Below are 19,767 nucleotides of genomic sequence, written 5' to 3'. Positions count from 1 at the left end.
GGGTTGTGGGGAGGAGCAGGTCAGGGAGGGGTTCCTAACCTGCCATTAGCACCAGACACCTTTTCAAGAGGCAGGAGGCACAGGAAGCAGCAGCTCTAGGAAGAACCAGCTTAAAACAAAAACAGAGGAGAAGAAAAAATCGCCTTGGAATGTGTGCTGCATTCTAACTAGTCCCACTGGGTCAATGCAATAGGGGTGGATTATTGCAGGCAAGACCTGGGCTGCCTCAGTAATTCTGCAAGTTTGATAAGAGATAGCTGGCAGACTTCAGCTTCCTTCCTCTGAAAGAGAAAACAGACATCACCTTTGCCACATCTGACTGGCATGCAATATGCGGGTCTTTGGGGGTCGTTCTGCGTTAAAATTGGGCAACCTTGTTCTATTACGACCACTGAAGCCTGTTCAGGGCTGACTGGGTGAGGGTAGCACAAATAAGGCCATCATTCTTTTTGAGAAATTCCGGATTCGGTAGAATGTGATAAGGTCTGAGATAGTGCTGTCGCCACCACCCCTACCCCAAGTTAGGAACAAGACCACAAAGTCAGATGGCACCTTAGAGAAATTGGCACCACCACTTTGCTACTCATCTATTCAGAGATGATTCAAAGTATGAGCAAATATTATGCTTCCCTGCATTTATTCTGATGAAAAAAAAAATCACGTATGCTAATTTATATGTAAATTCAGTATGGCCCTGGGGCTCCTGGCATGCAGCCAGCAGGGCTGTTGATGGTGGAAGTTTGGTCATTGTCTCCAGTTTGATGTTACAGGCAGAAGAGACATGGATCTCGGGACAGATAGAAATGACTGAGGGCTTGGGACCTTCCCTCTCCCTACCTCTGACCCCTCACCCTACCCCTTGCCTGCTTAGTTTTCATTTTTGCTGTCAACCCCCACAGAAACTGCTTTTCCGAAACTGCCCGATCCTGAACTCAGCTTCCCCACTTCATTCTTGTGCACCCAGAACAAGCAGGGGTGCACACACACGCACGCACACACACACACACTGATACTGCTTCATATTATATAAGAGGAGTCAATCGAGGATGCCTCCAAGTTGATTCCCTTCACTCAAACACCCACCAAAGCCCCTAGGGGACAGCAGGGAATCCTGAGGCCCATGCCTCCTGGGGTTGGGTGCAGCAGACGACATCATGGACATCCCTGCAAGATTCACCACCTTGGACTTCCTTATCACCCGACACAGATCCCTCCTGTCCCCACCCCTTGCCTTCTTCATCGAGCCCCAGTCAAGGGTGTACACATTTGATCCTTCCAGCCTGGTCTCTCTGCCCACCTTACGTGGATCCACACTGCAGCCACTGCAACCTATGTCAAGAGGACAGCAGCAATCCCTAAATCCTAACCTCGGAGAAGAGCCAGCAGGACTACAGCTCAGGACTCAGTCCAGATCAGGAGAACTCCATATTGCAGGGGGAGAAGAGGGCGAGGGGGTGGGACTCCCCATCGTTTTTCACCGGGTCAGAGGGAACTTTCCTCTGGGAATACAACTGCATAGGACTGAGCCTCACCTCCCAAGAGAGGGCTCCTCCTCCCGGAGCCCTGCTGGGCCACCCTGGGAAAGTTTCTCAGCTTGTCTCGATCCTTACGAGTTTTAGCTGTGTTTAATATAAAAGAGGCAAACTAGTTACCCCAAAGGACAGGGCAGGTGGGAGCAAGAAGATTAGTGGATAATTCTGTTGCTGGAACGAACAGACGTGAGAGCCGGGATGGGGTGTGGGGAGGCACGGTGCAGCAAATGGACTCAAGGTGGAGGCCGATTCCAAATGCACAGAACACAGCACTGGGGACATCAAAGCTTGCACTCAACTGCAGCCCCCAGGGCTCCCGGCTCAGCCGATAAATAAACAGAAAATTAGCATTCGACTCTTATTGCCTCTCTCCCTTCAACTTCGAAAAGCTTTTTAGAATTTCAGAGCCCCGGCTCCCCTCGCTTCCACACCTCCGACCCCAGCCACAAACACACCCCCGAACACATTTAAAACTAATACAGTTGTCCCCCACTGCTGCAAATTGACTCATCCCTTGCAGCTGGATCGCTGACCAGAACCTCACAGGAAGCACCTGATTCTTTCTAGCCTGCATTTTCCCCTTTGCTCCTTTTAAAAGCTTTGCAAGTTCGCTGGCCGATATTTAAAGTTTCCTCTTGTAATTTCTTCCCAGTCGCATAAGCAACACATTAGCAACCCTGTTGCCCTCCGAATCTGTCATTTCCCCCTGCTTACATGTGTGCTCCGTTGTGTATGTGTGCAAGAATGTGCATGAAGCCAGGGAGCCTTGCACACAAGCACAGTCCTAACAGGAGCACCAAACACATTTTACTTATGCACATACATATTCCCCCATTCCGGTAGCAGCCAGAATCAAATCAATATTCTCACAGCCTAGTCGGGAGAATGAAGTCCCAGCCATGCTGTCTAAACGCTCTCTCCTCCACCTGCAAACAGCGCAGCACAGCCGACTCGGGGAGTCTGCAAATCTTATAAAGCACACTGTACAATTCCTGGGTCTACCGAAGGCAAATCAATAGCAAGCTCTTACCTTGGAAGAGACACAGAGCAGCCAGCCCCGTGAAGATTGCCCAAGAGATAGAATTGTGCATTTTTGGCTGGATGGTTTTCATGATTTTTTTTCTTCTTCTTTTTCTTCTTTTTTGTCAGGTTCGGTTTTTTTCTTTCTTTCTTTCCTGATAGATTGTGTTGCTCTCAAGCTTGTGCAAGGAGATTTAAATCCACTGTTTTGCTGAAGGACACAACAAGAAAGCCGAGGGTGTGAGAGAGTATGACTTCTCCGTAATTATCTCCACTCATACTCTGGCACTGAGACACATTGTACAATCTGGCCCTGGACAGCCCTCCTACAAGCTGCAATCATTGGTTCTAATCCAAGGATTGACAGAGCTACAACACACGCGCGCGGGCACACACACACACACACACGCACACACACTCTCAGGAATCATTTACTGGGCAAATCAGGCTAGCTGATTAAAGAGACAGGAGCCTGGAGAGATAGAATGATAAATGCCACTTTGCCCCTTCTATATTACTTTCATTTTTTAAACTGACAGTCTCTGAGTCTTCTGAGTATCAGAAAATCCCTTTCCCCCTGGCATTCCCTGGCCTCCTGAACTCAGATTCCCTTTGCACTGGAAAAATCCCATAGCCAGCCATGGCTTATGGGAAATTTTAAAGGGACATTTTCATGCTCAGTGAAACTTGTAAAGATGAGGCAATTTTCATTTGTTGGTACCTATTTTCCCCTCCAATGGAAATATCATTCAGTGACAGCTTTTTTTTCTCTCTTTCATCAACCTTTCTACTTAGTTGCTTTGAAAATAGTAAATAACTTTCTATTTTCTCCTCCTGTCACTTCTGTTTCAGAACATCTATGTTACTCCTCTTTTTCATTCACTTTTTAGAAGTCAATTTCCTAAATTCATCCATGTGTATATGATACAATGGAAAGGTACAAAGTACCTGGTATTTGAGAAGAAGCTCTATAGTCTGAAGATGGAGAACCTTCTTCAAAAGAAAACAAAGCAGGAGTTTATTCCCCATGACTTGGTCAATCCACATCCACTAAAGCAATCATAGAAGCATCTGTGATTTAAACTGCAGCGAGAAAGATTCAGGGTAGACATGCGGAGGGGCTTTCTGAGTGTAAACTTTGTGTAGTTCCTCAGACAGTTGAAGACATTAACCTCCTTGGTGATAGGAAAGAATAAAAACCGAACAGAAATAATCTAATGGACATAAATGATTTCTTAAGAGGTCTAATTCTAGGGCCTGGAAGTTTATTCTAATCTTTGGCTTCCCCTTATGAGAAGCAAGTTAGAGGATGTGAACAAAAAATCTAGAAAATGTAGCTCCTGGCTGGGCACTGTGGCTCACGCCTGTAATCCCACAACTTTGGGAGGCCAAGGAAGGCCAGTAGCCTGAGCTCAGGAATTCGAGACCAGCCTGGGCAACATGGTGAAACCCTATCTCTACTAAAAAATTCCTTAAAAATATCTGGGTTTGGTGGTGCGCACCCGTGGTTCCAGCCACTTGGGTGGCTGAGGCAGGAGAATTGCTTGAGCCTGGGAGGCGGAGATCACAGTAAGCCAAGATGGCGCCACTACAATCCAGTCTGGGTGACAGAGCCAGCCCCTGTCTCAAGAAAAAAAAAAAAAAAAAAGAAAAGAAAAAGAAAATGTAGTTTCTCACAGAACCTTCCTTAGCTAATTCTGACACATTCATACCCCTACTATGCCTTGACACACATTTTAAAAATATTCTTCTAGAACTCCACCGCTAATTATTATACTTCCTTGTAACCCCATAAAAATGTTCATGTATTTTCAAACTGCATAGAAGAAAAGTACTCATTGTCTGTTTGTATTTTAGTGTACAGAGGTGAAATGAAAACATCACTGCCATTTTGCACATGTCTAAGACGTACGATTTACCTTGGCTTTTTTCTTTTTTCTTTCTTTTTTGTTTTTGTTTTTGACAGACTCTTGCCCCGTCACCCAGGTTGGAGTGCAGTGGTGCAATCACAGCTCACCGCAACTTTGAACTCCTGGGCTCAAGGAACCCTCCTGCCTTACCCACTATGCCCAGCTATTTTTTTTTTTTTTTTAATTTTCTACAACATAGTAGAGATGAAGTCTCACTATGTTGCTCAGGCTGGTTTCAAACTCCTTGCCTCAAGCAGTCCTTCCAGCCTTGGCCTCCCACAAGTTTACCTTGTGTTGTGTATGAATAGGGACAACACTGCCTGGAATGTGGGATCTTGTGACCTTGAGAGGAAGGGGCCCTGGGACCTCAAGATCTGGGGACCTCAAGATCCTTCTCATAGTTCTGCACAACTAAGGGACCTCAGGCAGGTCCTTTCACCTCTGTGAACCTTGGCTTCTTGTCTATAAAATTGTAGAACTGGAATAATTTATTATACTCCTTCTCATTTTAAAGATGTTTTATGTTAACTGGTATTTTTTTTCTTCTTGCCATTAAGTTCTAATTCACATATCTATCAAAATGTCCTTGATATCGTGAGCTCCCAATGGACAAGAATTTTATCTGTAGATGAGTCTTTTTGTGCGGTGCTCAGCATAGTGACATGTGTAATTAAATGCTTTGGAACAACTGTGACGGCAGGTGATAACAGTGCAGTGCAGAAGGAAGGTGGCTTCCTTTCACCACCATTTCATTTCTCTCCAGAACGATGATAAAGATCATGGGCCACTGGTAAGTCTTTAGTCCCAATCAGGAGAGGTGGACAATAACATTTGTAAATGTCCTTACCCTGAACTGTAATAAATCTATACAGTTACCAATGTTTATTAAGCTCCCAGGTGTGTACAGATAATAAGAAATTAATCATCGGAGTTGATATTTATTGATATTTATTTGCAATGTGCTAGACATGATACTCAGTGTTTTGCATGCATTTTTCTCATTAAATAATCACAACCTATGAAGTGGTGATATTATCATCCCCATTTTATAAATGAGGGCATTGAGGCTCAGAAAAAGCTTGTCCACAGCCACACAACAGTTAAGGAATGGAATCAGGATTTAAACCTGAGCATTTTCATCTTAGATCAACTTCAATAATAATATCCTGTGCTAAATACTGTGAGGGACTCAAATAGATATCAAGCATCCTAGCGTAGAATCTTTTTGTTGCTTTCAATAGCATATGAGATTATTAATAAACATTACAAAACAATACATATGTTGATACAAAACTACAGGAAGACTCATATACTGCTTTCAATCTTAACTGAGTTTCCAATGGTTGGTACATATAATTAATTTCATCAGACAGCACACAATAGGTGGTCATTTTCTATGATAGTTTTGTAAAGTTCTTTGGAGACGGTGGGAGTCATGAATACCGTGAGAGTGACTCTGATCCTAGATCTGAGGCAGAGGGAAGGACGTTGCTGGATGAGAATACCATGAATTAAAAACTAGAGTTAGAAATACACCAAGTATATTTGAGGTTCTAGTGACTTGTCTGAGATTCCCCATCCTACCATTCTGTATAGCAAGAAGAGCTTGAAAATATTTTTTAAATGAACCTTAGCATAATATGATGCTTGGCAGTTACTTTCTGCACACAGGTGAGGTAACCATGTCTGGTACCTGGCAGGCACAGACACTGGGCGTCACTGACATGACTTGTTGAATGAGAGCACGGACTTAGGGCTGCTTTGCTTGGGGTCCAAATCCCAGTTCTGTCCCCTAGGGGCTGTGAGATTAGGTTGAGTCATTTCAACTCCACATCTGAAACAGGATAGCAATTACACCCCCATCCCAACCATAGCCAGACATCCTAACCATCAACTAATTTTCATTAATTTTACTGTTTTTAACCAAGTTGAGATGGATGTGGTCTACCATGTGTCATTGGTAGAAGCTATCTGTGCTTGGGAACTAAGACTCCTGGACAGAGCAGTTTCAGCATTATGCTCTGTGCATTCATTGAGGCAAAATATATCCTCAGGGATTGCCGAACCAGAAGTCTAATTTGGGTTCTGAACACTGCTAAATGCTAAACTATCTTGAGAGCTATAGCTCTTTCAATGCTTGAATTTGCCACATGAAGTAAAATTTCCCAATGGCCTTCAGGTTTCACAAAAGCACACCATTAACCTCCTTCTAGAGAAGGCATCTTTTTCCCTCCTTTGTTATTGGGTTTAACACAGCATCACCAATACAGGCGTGTTGGATCAGTCAGCTGCTCATTGCTGTAATTACAAATCGAAAAAGCTGATCCTAGGCTACACACAGAAGGGTTTCATTCAACCAAGCACATCTCTTGCCTAATGGAACCGGTCTCACCAATGCTGTCAGCAAACTTCCTTTCCATTTTCCATTCTAGTCTCAGGATCTATCAGGCTTAGGACTGAGAATCTCCATTGTTGCAACTACCCCAAAGAATGCACAGCTTGGTCCTTCTGCTTTGGGGTGGCTCGTGACTGTGGTTAGAGATTTCTGCCAGTAGAAGTGAGCCAATGACTAAAGAACCTCTGACTGGGGGAAGCTATGACTGGGGGGAGCTATGATTGGAAGGGGACACTTTGAAATCGCAGTTCCCTCCTCAACAATCAGAGCTCCTTCCTCTGAGTTAGAAGGCTCAAGTACTTCTCATCAGGTGCCTGGAGGACTCACTTTGCCTTTTGCATTAGCCAGATTTGTGTTATGCACCATTTACTTCCCAGTTCATGAGTCCACTTTTTTTGCAGAGGAGTATGAATGGCGTAAGACAAAATTAATGTCTGGAAAGGGACCTTAAATTCTAGACAGAATGATAATTTTTCACCACCCACACTCCTTGAAGTTAGAAGAACTTTACTACAGACATGATTTTTCTGTTTGCAGATAAGAAACAAGGAAGGGGCATAAAAATTAAAAAAAAAAATAAGAAAGGGGAAACAGATGAGGTCTTTAACTCCTTTGGAGAGGGCAGCTAGGATTGCATTTCATAAACCTTTCATCATCGGGCAGCTTAGGAATCTGCACTGTGTGCAATGAGCTAGTACAAATAGGGATTGATTCTCTGTAAACTGCCCCCATGAACACCTGTCACCTTATCCAACGATAGACAATAAGTCCAGTAAGCTCACTGTGGGACCTGGCTGCCCTGCTGTCCAAATCCCAGCTGAACCCTGACAGCAGACATAGGAGAGGGGATGCATAATCACTCACACATGGTGGGCCAGGCTTGAAGGACTGGCAGACAGAATGCCACCATGAGGAGGAGGAGGAGGTGGGTGTGTGTGTGCCTGTGAGTGAGGGAGGAAGGGGTGTGGAGGCAGTGTTTTTTATTTCTCTCAGCTATTATGGAAAGAACTGCGGGAGCTTAAATCTAAAGAGCAGTGCTGAAATCATGTTCAGGACTTAACAAAAGCCGCTGCTCTGCTGCCATCCGCCTGCTGTGGCCTGCCTCTGCTGAGGCTCCATGTGGTGGGTGATCTTACATGCCCAGAAGCTTGGAGGAGCCTGCCCTAGGGGAAGAGAAAGCCAGCCTGCCCTCACACATCTGGGGTTGGGCAGGGTTCAGCTTTGACTTGCAATGCCACTTCAGGGAGGGTGAAAACCATGGCAGGAAGAAGGCAGCCTCCTACCTTAAAGGGACTCTCCCCAGAAAGGGAGAGCTGCAGCCATCTTGGATGGAGCTCTGAGCATGGTCACTTTGGATGGGAATGGAATGGGTCCAGGCACAGGTGATGTCTGAATTATGTGAGTCTATTTTGAGAATTTGACTTAGAGCAGCAGGTTTTCTGATTTATTGATAAGTTGCCTAACCTGATATTAAAATGAAAGTGTAACTGTTAACAGCCCAGAAATTAAGGACACAGGGATATAAGCCCAAAGTCCTACAAAGGGAGTTTTCAGTGTTTTCTAATTGAATTACAGGCATAGTCATCTGGCCTTGATTTATATTTATCACCTTCAGCTCAAAAAGAAGAACTACCATAGAGCAGTATAACAGAAGTAATTTAAGATTTAAAATCAGAAGACCTGGATTCGAGTCTAATCCCATTGATCAAGTTCAATCCAGTAATGCTCAACGTTCTCATGTCGTCTCATCCCACCTCATCCTTAAGGTGGAAATAATAATATCTACTGCACAGAGTTGTTGTAGATTCATTAAAATGAAGGTTATAAATGTCCCAGTACAGTGATCAGCATGCAGACACATTGGCTCCTGGTCTTTAGGATCAGCTTGCTTTGAAAAACCAATCAGTGTGCTGGATAATATTCAACATGAACTTCACAGTGTGAGTCAGTACCTTCAGGATGCTTACTGTCAGAGATATTTTTCCTGGGTCTGTAGTAGACAGGGTGGCTATTGCATCTGGATCCCCAGACCACTGGGAATCAGTTGGATGCGGTTGGAGTGGGCACTGCTCTACTCTTGGCATAAGAGTGGGCACAGGCCCCTGGCCTGGTCAATCAGTTTCTTTCCTGAGAAATTTCCAGGTGCTTTGGGAAAGAGGGACTGCAACTAGAGGACATCTTTCCTAACACATGGAGAACTCTGCAAGGAAATGGAGTCAACAAAAAGGAAAGAAGGAACAAGAGGAGAGGCCATCACAGAAAGGAGGACATGTCATGTATGGAACCAGACACCCACCTTTCGGAATTCCTGATCCTTTATTTGCTTAAGTTAGTTTGAGTTGAGCTTCTGTCCCTCACACCTGAGAGGATCTAGACTAAACGCGTCCATCTGGAGGGCCATGAGTAGAAATGTCCTTGCTTTCCTGCCCTTCCCACATGACTTACCCTGATACAATGAAAATGTCTAGATATTGTGTTATGCTTGTGGGAGAGAATGCCTTAGGCAGAGATGTAGGCATCTGAAGCCGTTTACTTAAAAAAAAACAAAACAAAAAAAAACCAAGTAGCCAGTGTTGATATAAAATTGGAATTAAAATAAGGTCATAGATGAAATCACAATGGACCAAATCCCTCTTCTTCCAAAGGGTGGGGCTCTGGAAGTGGGGAGCAAAACACCACTTAATGAACGTCTTCTGTGTGAAAATTCTGCATGTCATTTTATTTAATCTTTACAGTGTTTCTAGAAGATAAATACTATTATCCTTAATTTTCAAGTAAAGAGGTTAGCTAACTTATCCACAGTTGTACAGATAGTAACTGGCCAGGTCTCTGAACACCCAAAAGCCTGCTCTTTCTCTTATAGTATATTTGGCTATACTTTAAGTGAAACTGGGACTCAAAAGGAAAAGATCATGGTAGCCTGGCATGGTTGGTGAGAACTCTCAAAATAACATTGGTCTTGATCAGTTTGGAATGAAAGAAAGTAGGAACTTATTTAAACTGAAGGGAATAGCATGGTAAAGGCTGGATGGGAACATAAAGCTCTGTGGAAATCAGCAGGATCCAACGTGGATGAATTTGAGGCTGTGGTTCAAGAGTACTGAGAGTTCATAGAGTTTGGGCCTAAACTAGAGAGTCCTGAATATCTATACAGTTTGAACTGAATTTGAGAAGATCACTGCTGTTGATTCTGAGTAAGAAAGTGAAAACAATAAAATTTGATATTTCTGAAGGTTTATACAGTGGAATGGATGGTGAATTAGGTAATTCCCCTAGAGAAGCCTCTCTTGGCCCTCTGGATGTCGACAACTTCCCATCTTGTGCTAATCTCTAGTCTAGTTTGGCAGACGTGGGACAGTGGTTTAGCCCCATCCGCCACCCCCATACATCACATGTGTGAGTAGCTCTGGTGCTCGTGGGCCCTAGAAACCTCTTATTTGCAGTCTGCTGCCCACCAGCCAGTTGAACAGGACACAGTACAATGGTAGGAGTAGAGGTCAGGCTTCAAGGAAGGTGGGGAGATTTTGGGGGTTACTTGGAGCAGACCCACTTTCCTACACTTGCGCTGATAACAGAGCTTATTTGACAGGTAAGTGTCACTTTACCGCTTTTGGCCATTTCTATCCATGGACATATCTATTTTGAAGACTTTATAGGGAGGAACAGTATAGTCTAGGGATTTTTTTTTTTTTTAATGATTTGGCTTTGTGCTACCTTAATACTATCTAAAAACAATTGAACTCCACTAGCTGAATTTGGAGGAAGACTCTGAAATACAGCTTAGGAACCCTTCTATGAGTATCTCATGCTTTCATTTTATACTCAGAAGTGGTGTCCAGAGAAGGGCAATTGCATGCTTAGGTTCATACAACAGAACTGGGAATAGAATCAACTCATTTGGTCCTTGTCCAATGTTGTTTCTTTTATTCCAGAATGTGTCTGGATGCCTTCAAAGTTTGATTGGATGGCCCCTTGTGAAGAATCCTCTGACCAAGAAATTCACTCTGGCTTGTTTACCCAAAACTGTACTCTTTATAACTTCAAATTCTAAGTCTTTAAAAATGCAACCATGCCTTTTATAAAGACAGACAATTTAAGCTGTGGCCTATCACTAAAAGCTCAGGGTGAAGGGGTTTCAGCTTCCTTAGCAAGCATAGGTTATAAAAGAAGGAGTGAGACCATACACAGTGAGACCAGAAGATCCCTGGAACCCTGGGCAGGGTATGGGCATATGGAATATGGGGAAAGGGAAAGTGAGAATGGGAATAGAAACCTGAGAGACTGGGTTTGACAGCAACAACGACCGACGCGGTCCTCTTTGTGATTCTGACAGTTGCTTTTCCAGAGAGGAGATAGGAGAGCTGGCAGCAGAAGGGCGTGGGGTAATGGTCTTATCATACACCCAACTTGTCCATGTGCTGTCCCCACCAAAAGCTACGCTGATGACTTTTACAGGGGTGGGAGGAGATAAGATTCCTCGAGGAGGGGATCAGTGGAGTCTCTGTGGGAGGTGACTAGCCCAGGCAGCAAGGGCTGTTCATCATAGACGTTTGACTGATTCTAACCCACAGTAGAATACAGACAAGACATATAAAGGCTTAAAATCAAATCATGTGTCATGCTGAAGAATAATGGTACTTTCTGCTAGGGATATGTATATATTTTTAATTTCTGAGTGAATTAAGTGCCTATAAAAGGTGTTGAATTGGCAGCCTAGAAAGCTGGAGCCCTTGATTTATGCCCAGAAGAGGAAAGAGGGAGACAGTTACCTGAATCATTCTGAAGTGCTCTGAGCCACCCACCCATACCCATACACTCTGCCCTTTGTCTCACTAAGAATTGTGATTCGTTGCCCTCTGTGCAAGTCCTTCCTGCCATTCTGCATGGGCTTTAGATTAGGCTGAGATCAAAGCTAAATGGTAGGGAAAGCAAATTAATGAATGTTGGGCCCTTGGCAAAGTGTTCTGTGACCATGATATATGAACAGATCTAACCACAAACACATGTATATCTCTAAGTTGCATTTATATTTTCAAAGTGCATTTACATATCCTACTTCATAACCTACTTATTAAATACGTGTTCATCAGTGCTTGTTATTGTCGTTTTTGTTTTAGGGTGGGAGACTGAGGCATAGAAAATGATAGCATGCCCAGCACTTTGGGAGGCCAAGGCAGGCGGATCATGAGGTCAGGAGATCGAGACCATCCTGGCTAACACGGTAAAACCCCGTCTCTACTAAAAAATACAAAAAATTAGCGGGGCATGGTGGCGGGTGCCTGTAGTCCCAGCTACAGGGGAGGATGAGGCAGGAGAATGGCGTGAACCCGGGAGGCGAAGCTTGCAGTGAGCCGAGATCGCACCACTGCACTCCAGCTCAGGCGACAGAGCGAGACTCCGTCAAATAAAAAAAAAAAAAAAGAAAAAAAAAGAAAATGATAGCATGCTACATCTGGAAGTGATCTTAGAAAAGTAACAGGATGAAAAATAGAGCCTGGATTTCCTGACTTTCCCTGAAAAGTGAAACTCCCAGCCAAAAACAAACAATAAGGCAGCAGTGAAGGGGTGGTGGGAACCAAGGTGTCCTAACACCCTGCCCTCTTCTCAATGTTCAGGAATCAGTCATCTTTATTTACTACAGAACATAAAAGAAACTATGCACAGATAACATAATGACAATGATAAAAGTATTAACAAAAATACCTTATGAAAGAAGAAAGTCCCTGCGGTTAGTTTAGAGGCCTAGAGGCAGAATAGATGGCATGGCCATTGAGGGGAGGCAGACCTGGCTTCTTCCCCCAGTATGTGTCTCCGCGTATACGCAGCTTTTTCTCATAGGACACTTAAGCTGTCTGAGTCTCAGATGCCCCATTAGTGAACATGGGGAAGAAAAACAACCTCACAAGATTAAACACAGCACACATGTAAAGCCATTGGCACTCAAGGTGCTCAAAGCATATATTAGGTCTCCTACTAGAGGAACATTGTTTTTTTCAATTAAGTAGAGATATATGATTATTTTGGGGGAAAGTTTTTAAGGAAATAAAGACAGATTTTACGTTATAATTTTGATTTCTTTGGCTCTACCTTTGATTTCTTTTCTTTCTGTCTTTATTTTCTTTTGTTTGTAAATTAAGTGCAGGTTGTTGACTTAATAGATAAATTAAGCTTCAGTATATCTTCCTTGCATTTAGTCCAAAACAGCTTTCTGGGAGTGGTATATATTGACAAATATATTACAACCGGCTGCTGGAATATGGGAGAGGAAGTAATTCCAGGTGAAACGCTGTTCCCCACATCCATCTCATTCAAAAGGGAGGCCTTTTCTTGGGAGAAGATGAGATTAGGGGCCCTCAATTCACAACTTCCTGTCAATGTCAAGAGAACTGTGCACACACAGACACTGTTTGTGCCTGCTACAATAGTCCAGAAACATCCTTGTGCCATTGCAAAGGCTTTTGGGGGAAACATGGCTTTAATGAGGATGTTTGTGTTTGATGTTATTAGAAATGAAATGTTTATAGAAATGTCACTGCAAAAGTGCGGCACCTACATGGGGCAAGGAAATGTAACTCCTAATAAAAGCTGAAGGCACAGTCATACACACACTCACACCACAGTCTCCCTCTTTGATATGCTTTATAAGTTTGTCCCCTCTAAATCTCATGTTGAAATGTGATCCTCAGTGTTGGAGGTGGAGCCTGGTGGGAGGTTACTGGATCGTGGAGGGGGACCCCTCACAAATGGTTTAGCAGCATCTCCTCGATAATAAGTGAGTCCTCTCTCAGTTCACGTGAGATCTGGTGTGTTTCAAAGAGTCTGGCCTCCCCCTTCTCCCTCTCTTGCTCCCACTCCCACCTTGTGATGGGCCTGCTCCCGCTTCACCTTCTGCCGTGAGTAAAACTCCCTGAGGCTTCACCAGAAGCAGAGCAGATGCCGGCGCCACACTTCCGGCACAACCTGCAGAACTGTGGGCCAATTAAACCTCTTTTCTTTATAAGGATATTACACCTCAGCTATTTTTCTATAGCAACAACAACAACAACAACAACAAAGACAGCCTAACACACTCTTTCTCTTCCAGTTTGTGTTCTGCACTTACTAAAGTAGTTCAATCAAAATCACATGTGAAAGTGAACGTAGTGAAAATACAACCAGAATGTTCACATGTTTATTGGTTATTATACCATGCTTTACTCACCTTAGTTTTCTTCCTTATAGGAAGGAAAAGTGAGCAGCAAAATAATCAAGCAGTCACAATATAATCAAATCAGAAAAAGAATGCCTGAGGTGTGCCCCTCAGCCTTTACACCACAATTACTGATTCCAGATGATGTCCCCACTTTAGAAAAGCATTGTTCATATTACAGAAGTGCTGAGTGCTTTATTTCCTTTAAATATAGCATAGGATTTTATTATGTTTCTCTGTCAAGTTAGAGAGACTTAAAGATGTGCATTCATAAATCAAGCTATCAACAAGTGTTATTGAGCTCAAGCTACATTCAGGCACTGTGGTCGGCTCTGTCTGGTCTAGATATTGTGACAATTCACCCCTGCCATCCAGGAGGACACCACGTATTTACTCAGTTGTGGTATTAGTAGTCCAGTACTTATTCAGCACCTACTGTGAGGCAGGCACTTTCCAACTACTAGAGATACAACTATTAGTATTATTTTTCTGTAAAGTTGTTCACAGTTGAAGTGGGATACTGATCAGCAGTTATAATGGTTATCGAATTAATCAAGATGAGTGACAATAACTGACACAAAAGAAAAAACTTTAGAATCTCAGTGGTTTAAGGGAAAGTAATTTTTGTTGTGGTTTTTGTTATTGTTGTTGTTTTCAGCTCATGCTAAGTCCCATATGGCAGCAGAAAGACCAATTAGCAGGTCAAAAAAAGCTTAGGCAAAAAATGTGAAGGCCCCAAACTAAGGCCATGGCAGTGAGCTAACAAGTAGGAGTTGTGGTCTAGAGACACCTCCTGTAAGGTGCTATGCTGGAAGATGCCTTTCACCAGATACTGACAAATCTTGGGACAGTTTTATTGAACATAATGATTATTATAAAAAATAGTAAAGGAGACAGAAAGCATTTTCTAAATGCCAAAGTGATAGAGATAACAGTAATAGCAGAGTAGAAATAAACCAGTATTATTTATCACTCAATTTAAATCATTATTGATGTGATGGTTTTGTAAAAATAAATAATTCTTAACATCTTAAACTTAAATGTCAGATACTTTTGACATGGGAGAGACCAAGGGTTTGCTAGGTGGACAACAGTGGAACAAGAAAGCAGGAAGAAAAGACAAGCTAAAGAATAATGACTAGCTCTACATATTTTTAGAAAAATACATGAATTCCAGCCGAGCACAGTGGCTCACGCCTGTAATCTCAGCACTTAGGGAGGCTGAGGCGGGCAGATCACCTGAGGTCAGGAGTTCAAGACCAGCCTGGCCAACATGGAGAAACCCTGTCTCTACTAAAAATACAAAAATTGGCCAGGCATGGTGGCACATGCCTGTAATCCCAGCTACTTGGGAGGCTGAGGCAGGAGGATCGCTTGAACCTGGGAGGCAGAGGTTGCAGTGAGCTGAAATTGGGCCACTATACTCCAGTCTGGGTGACAGGGCAAGACTCCCTCTCAAAAAAAAAAAAAAAAAAAGTAATCCCATGTGTTAAAGATGTATAAATAATATGCAGAAAAATGGAAAGATAATAACTTCTAAACTATTGAGAAGGACAAAAGACAAAAACAGAAATACAGAGAACTTTAACAATACAGCAAAAAATCTGAAAGAGGGAAATAAACAATTACAAAGAATGGAACATAAAGGCAGGTGACTAGAAAAAATCTTCCCATTTTACTACTCCAAATAAATATGACGGAATGAACCTTCTCTATAAAAACAGAGAGATTTGAAGATTGGAAAAAATATATAATTTATGCTATTTGTTAAGGTACATCTTAAATAATGCAATCCAGAAGCTTTAATAATATGCAAGGAAAATAATAAGAAAACAGATACAATGGTGTTAATATCAAAAGGAACAGAAATCAAGATGAAAAGACTAACCATGAGAAAAACAGAGGTATTAATGGGATAAATAGTGTAATCCACTAAGAAGAAATAATAGTCATGAGCTTTGATGAAATGAACAAAAACTTATCAAATTAAAAGCTTTTGTAAATGCAAGGAGAAATTGACAATTCCTCAATTAAAGTAAAAAATATTCATGCAACTTTAAAAAACTGAGAGCACAAATCAGAAAAACACATAGGACACAGTGATATTAGTAAGAAATCAACATTCTGAAAATAATTAAATGAATAAGATGGATGGATGGGTGGATAGATAGGTAGGTATAAAAAACAGACAGAGGGAGGCCGAGGCAGGCGGATCACGAGGTCAGGAGATTGAGACCATCCTGGCTAACACAGTGAAACCCCGTCTCTACTAAAAATACAAAAAATTAGCCGGGCGTAGTGGCAGGCGCCTGTAGTCCCAGCTACTTGGGAGGCTGAGGCGGGAGAATGGCGTGAACCCGAGAGGCGGAGCTTGCAGTGAGCCGAGATTGCGCCACTGCACCCCAGCCTGGGTGACAGAGCAAGACTCCGTCTCAAAAAAAAACAAAAACAAAAACAAAAAAAAAAACAAACAAAAAACAGACAGAAACTTACATTCATGAATAGAAAATGCTCAGCCTTTCCAAACACAATGAAATTTTCACAAGCAGATCATCTTTAGGTCAACAAAGTCTGCATACACCTTAACAATCAGAATGCTCTGGGCTCATTCTCAGATTGAAATGCAATAATAGAAATTAACAGAGAAATAAGGAAATTCTTTTTCTTTACGCCAAAAGAGAAAAATCCTAAACAGGGATTCAAATGAAAATTACAAATATTGATAAAAGAATGAGAACATTATATATTAAACCTTTTTTATTTATTTATTTATTTATTTATTTTATTGTTTTTCAAGGCATGGTTTCACTCTGTCGCCCAGAGTGGAGTGCAGTGGCATGATTTCAGCTCACTGCAACCTCCACCTCCCAGGCTCAAGCAATTTTCCTGCCTCAGCCTCCCGAATAGCTGGGATTGCAGGCGCCCACAACCACAACTGGCTAATCTTTTTATTTTTTTTAGTAGAGATGTGGTTTCATCATGTTAGCAATGCTGATCTCAAACTCGTGACCTCAAATGATTCACCAGCCTTAGCCTCCGAAAGTGCTGAGATTACAGAGGTGAGCCACCATGCCCGGCCTTATATATTAAATCTCATGAAAGTGACAAAAGGAAATTTATAGGCCTAAATGAAGTTATTAGATGGTAGAAAAGATTATAAATGAATTCAGTAGGCATACATGTCTGTTATTATTTTGTTATATGTATTTCACAAGTAGCAAAATATATGTATATAGTGCCTTAAACAAAGAGAACTAGTTGTTATTGTTGTTTTTCTTCACTCAGAAGTCTGGAGTTGAGCAGACTGTCACTGGCTCAGTGGTTCAGTGGCTAAATGAGAACATTGCCAGTGTTGCTGCAATTCCCTTTGTCTTTGCCTTATCTCTCAAGATGTCAACTGGTTCTCCAGACATTACATCCATAGTCCAAGCAGGAAGAAACAGAATATGAAAGGATTTATCAGCTTTTCTCCATCCTCTTTTATCAGGAAAGCAAATGTTTCCCTCACACATAAAAATGGTACGTTTTCTTGGCCAGAACTTGCCAAATGGCCAACATTGGCTCTAAGGAAAACTTGAAAATGAATAGTAAAGTCAATGAAAATAACGAATAGCCAGAAAAGAAGAAAGGTCTAACAGAAACAAAACAGAAACCTTGATCAATAAAAGTAAAATATAGTTATTTGAAAAAAATGAAATACATAAAATTCAAGCCAGTGAGATCAAAGGAAATGTGTTATCCAAGCAACTTTAGAAATAAGAAAGAAGACGTGAATTAAATGTTAAATATTAGGAGAATTGCTGGGTACAACTTTAAACCAAATCTTCTGAAAATCTATATAAAATAGAAGCTTCTTTAGGAATGTAGAACTGCCAATATTTACTCAAGAGGCAGAAACTCTGAGTACAATAATCTTCAAATTTATTTCAAAATTTATCTATCAGTATATTAAAAGAATACAATGGAGTTTCATAATGTACAAAATTATGTACAGTCAAAATTATCTTTTACAATTTCTTAGGAGTCCAGGATAGACAATTTGTTTTTCTCCAGAATTGGAAGAGTTCACTGGGTTTATATTGAGTGGATTAAAAATGAAGTACCTTGTTGAATTTAGCAGCCATGTTGCATGAAAACATTATTTTTAGACATTAGAATCACATTCAATTTCACAAAATGCACACAGGAATGGAAGCCAATTGAATGAGCAATATACAACTATCTCGTCCTTACTATGATCTGGGAAATTCTGGAATATAGAGTCTAGAATAAGAGTTGTGCATCTATCAGAGTTTAGTTGATAGTGAAAATGGAATTTTAAATCAGTTAGGAAATAGCCTATAAAATAAAGAGTGTTAAAAAATGGTAGCTGTCTATCTAAAAGGGGTAGGGGAGAGAGAGAAAGAGAGAGGCCTCTTAATTTCTTATTTTGTACAAAAAAATTAATTTGAAATGCATTTAAGAGCATAAGGTAAAGAGCAAAATTGTAAAGTGTTTGAGAAAAATATCAGAGAATTTATTTTTAATTTATATACTGGAAGGCTTTCTTAAGAAAGATACAAAACCTAGAATTTATAAAAGAAAAGATTGACAGGTTTTGCTGTACAAAAATTATAAATGTCTGCGTGACAAAAGACTCCATAAACAAAGTTAAAAGACAAGTGAAAGAAACACCAGTGCAGTGGAATAATATTTTGATGTAATAACTGATCTTTCTCTAACTTCCTGTTACACCTACCCCCATCCCCACCAACCGCCCCTCCCCACTTGGCAGCAGCCAAGGCATTCTATGTTCATCGCCTCAGAGAAGAGATGACACAGCATTACACAGAGAACAAAGAGGCCATTCGCAGTTTTTGAATTTCAAAAGACTAGGACGAAGTCTAGATAAACTATGTGGAAAAATGTGTTTGGAGCCACCTCAATGTTAAGATTTGATTGTCTTGATTCTCAGTCAAGATTCTATTGGCTTAGGAAGAAGAGCAGATGAAAGGGAAATAAAGAGCTGAGGAGAAAGAGATTCTGCCCCAGCCCTGGCCAGGGACTGTGCCTGGTTCTGCAGGGGCAGTGTGTTGGGGCAGCAGGGGGCAATGGGTAGCAAGGTTTGTTAGTGACAGAAAACTCAAAAAACAAAGAATCCGATGTCCCTTTTCCAAAGTGGAGCAGCCCAGGGAGGAACAAGCCACCAGTGTTTCCACTCCTTCCCCTCAGCCCAGTGTTACGGGAGAGAAGAGGGGTGGTGTGTCTTGGAGGATGTACTTGACACATTCTCACACATTTCCCCCAGGCCTGACATGCATAAAAATAGCCAAGTTATCCCAGTACATGCAGTAATGGCACTGAAGTAGCAAGTAAAGTCAACTTGAAGTGGGGCAAGGGCTGAGTCAGCTTTAACTTCAGCACCAAGATCCAGAGGGAATAAGTGTTCCCCAGGGAATGCCAATGTGGACAAAAAGTGACTGAGGATCCACCACATCCTGCCACCAGGACCCTCCCAAACCTGGACCCAGACCAGGAAAGGGCTGATGATGGTCGTGTCTAAGATTCAGCTTCTGCCACCTAATGGAAAGGGCTGACATCAAAGTTGGAGAAAAGGTAAGAGTTTCGCTTCCATGAATTTGGCACCCATTACACTGCCAGCATTCACTTGGTATCCAGAGTGTAAAAGGTCCTGTTAGGCAAGATGATTATAGAGGCAGACAGTCTGCTGCGGGGCAGAGG

The 19,767-nt window shown here is 42.0% G+C and overlaps 1 protein-coding gene across 21 annotated transcripts in view; it reads right to left on the bottom strand.

Annotated features, from left to right (window-relative positions):
• NTM (neurotrimin) overlaps positions 1-2,836 on the bottom strand; it is a 966,208-nt gene extending 963,372 nt beyond the window's left edge. For all 21 annotated transcript variants that reach the window (NR_170352.1, NR_170351.1, NR_170346.1 and 18 more), the window contains exon 1: positions 2,563-2,836. Coding sequence is in view for 4 of the 21 variants with exons in the window: in NM_001352001.2 (NP_001338930.1) it covers positions 2,563-2,644 (82 nt within the window). In the remaining 17 variants the exon portion in view is untranslated. The remainder of the gene's footprint in view (positions 1-2,562) is intronic.
• Positions 2,837-19,767: the final 16,931 nt, after the last annotated feature.

The sequence above is a fragment of the Homo sapiens genome, chromosome 11, assembly GCF_000001405.40.
Source record: "Homo sapiens chromosome 11, GRCh38.p14 Primary Assembly".
NCBI classification, from domain to species: domain Eukaryota; kingdom Metazoa; phylum Chordata; class Mammalia; order Primates; family Hominidae; genus Homo; species Homo sapiens.
This window is presented reverse-complemented; position numbering and strand designations above follow the sequence as displayed.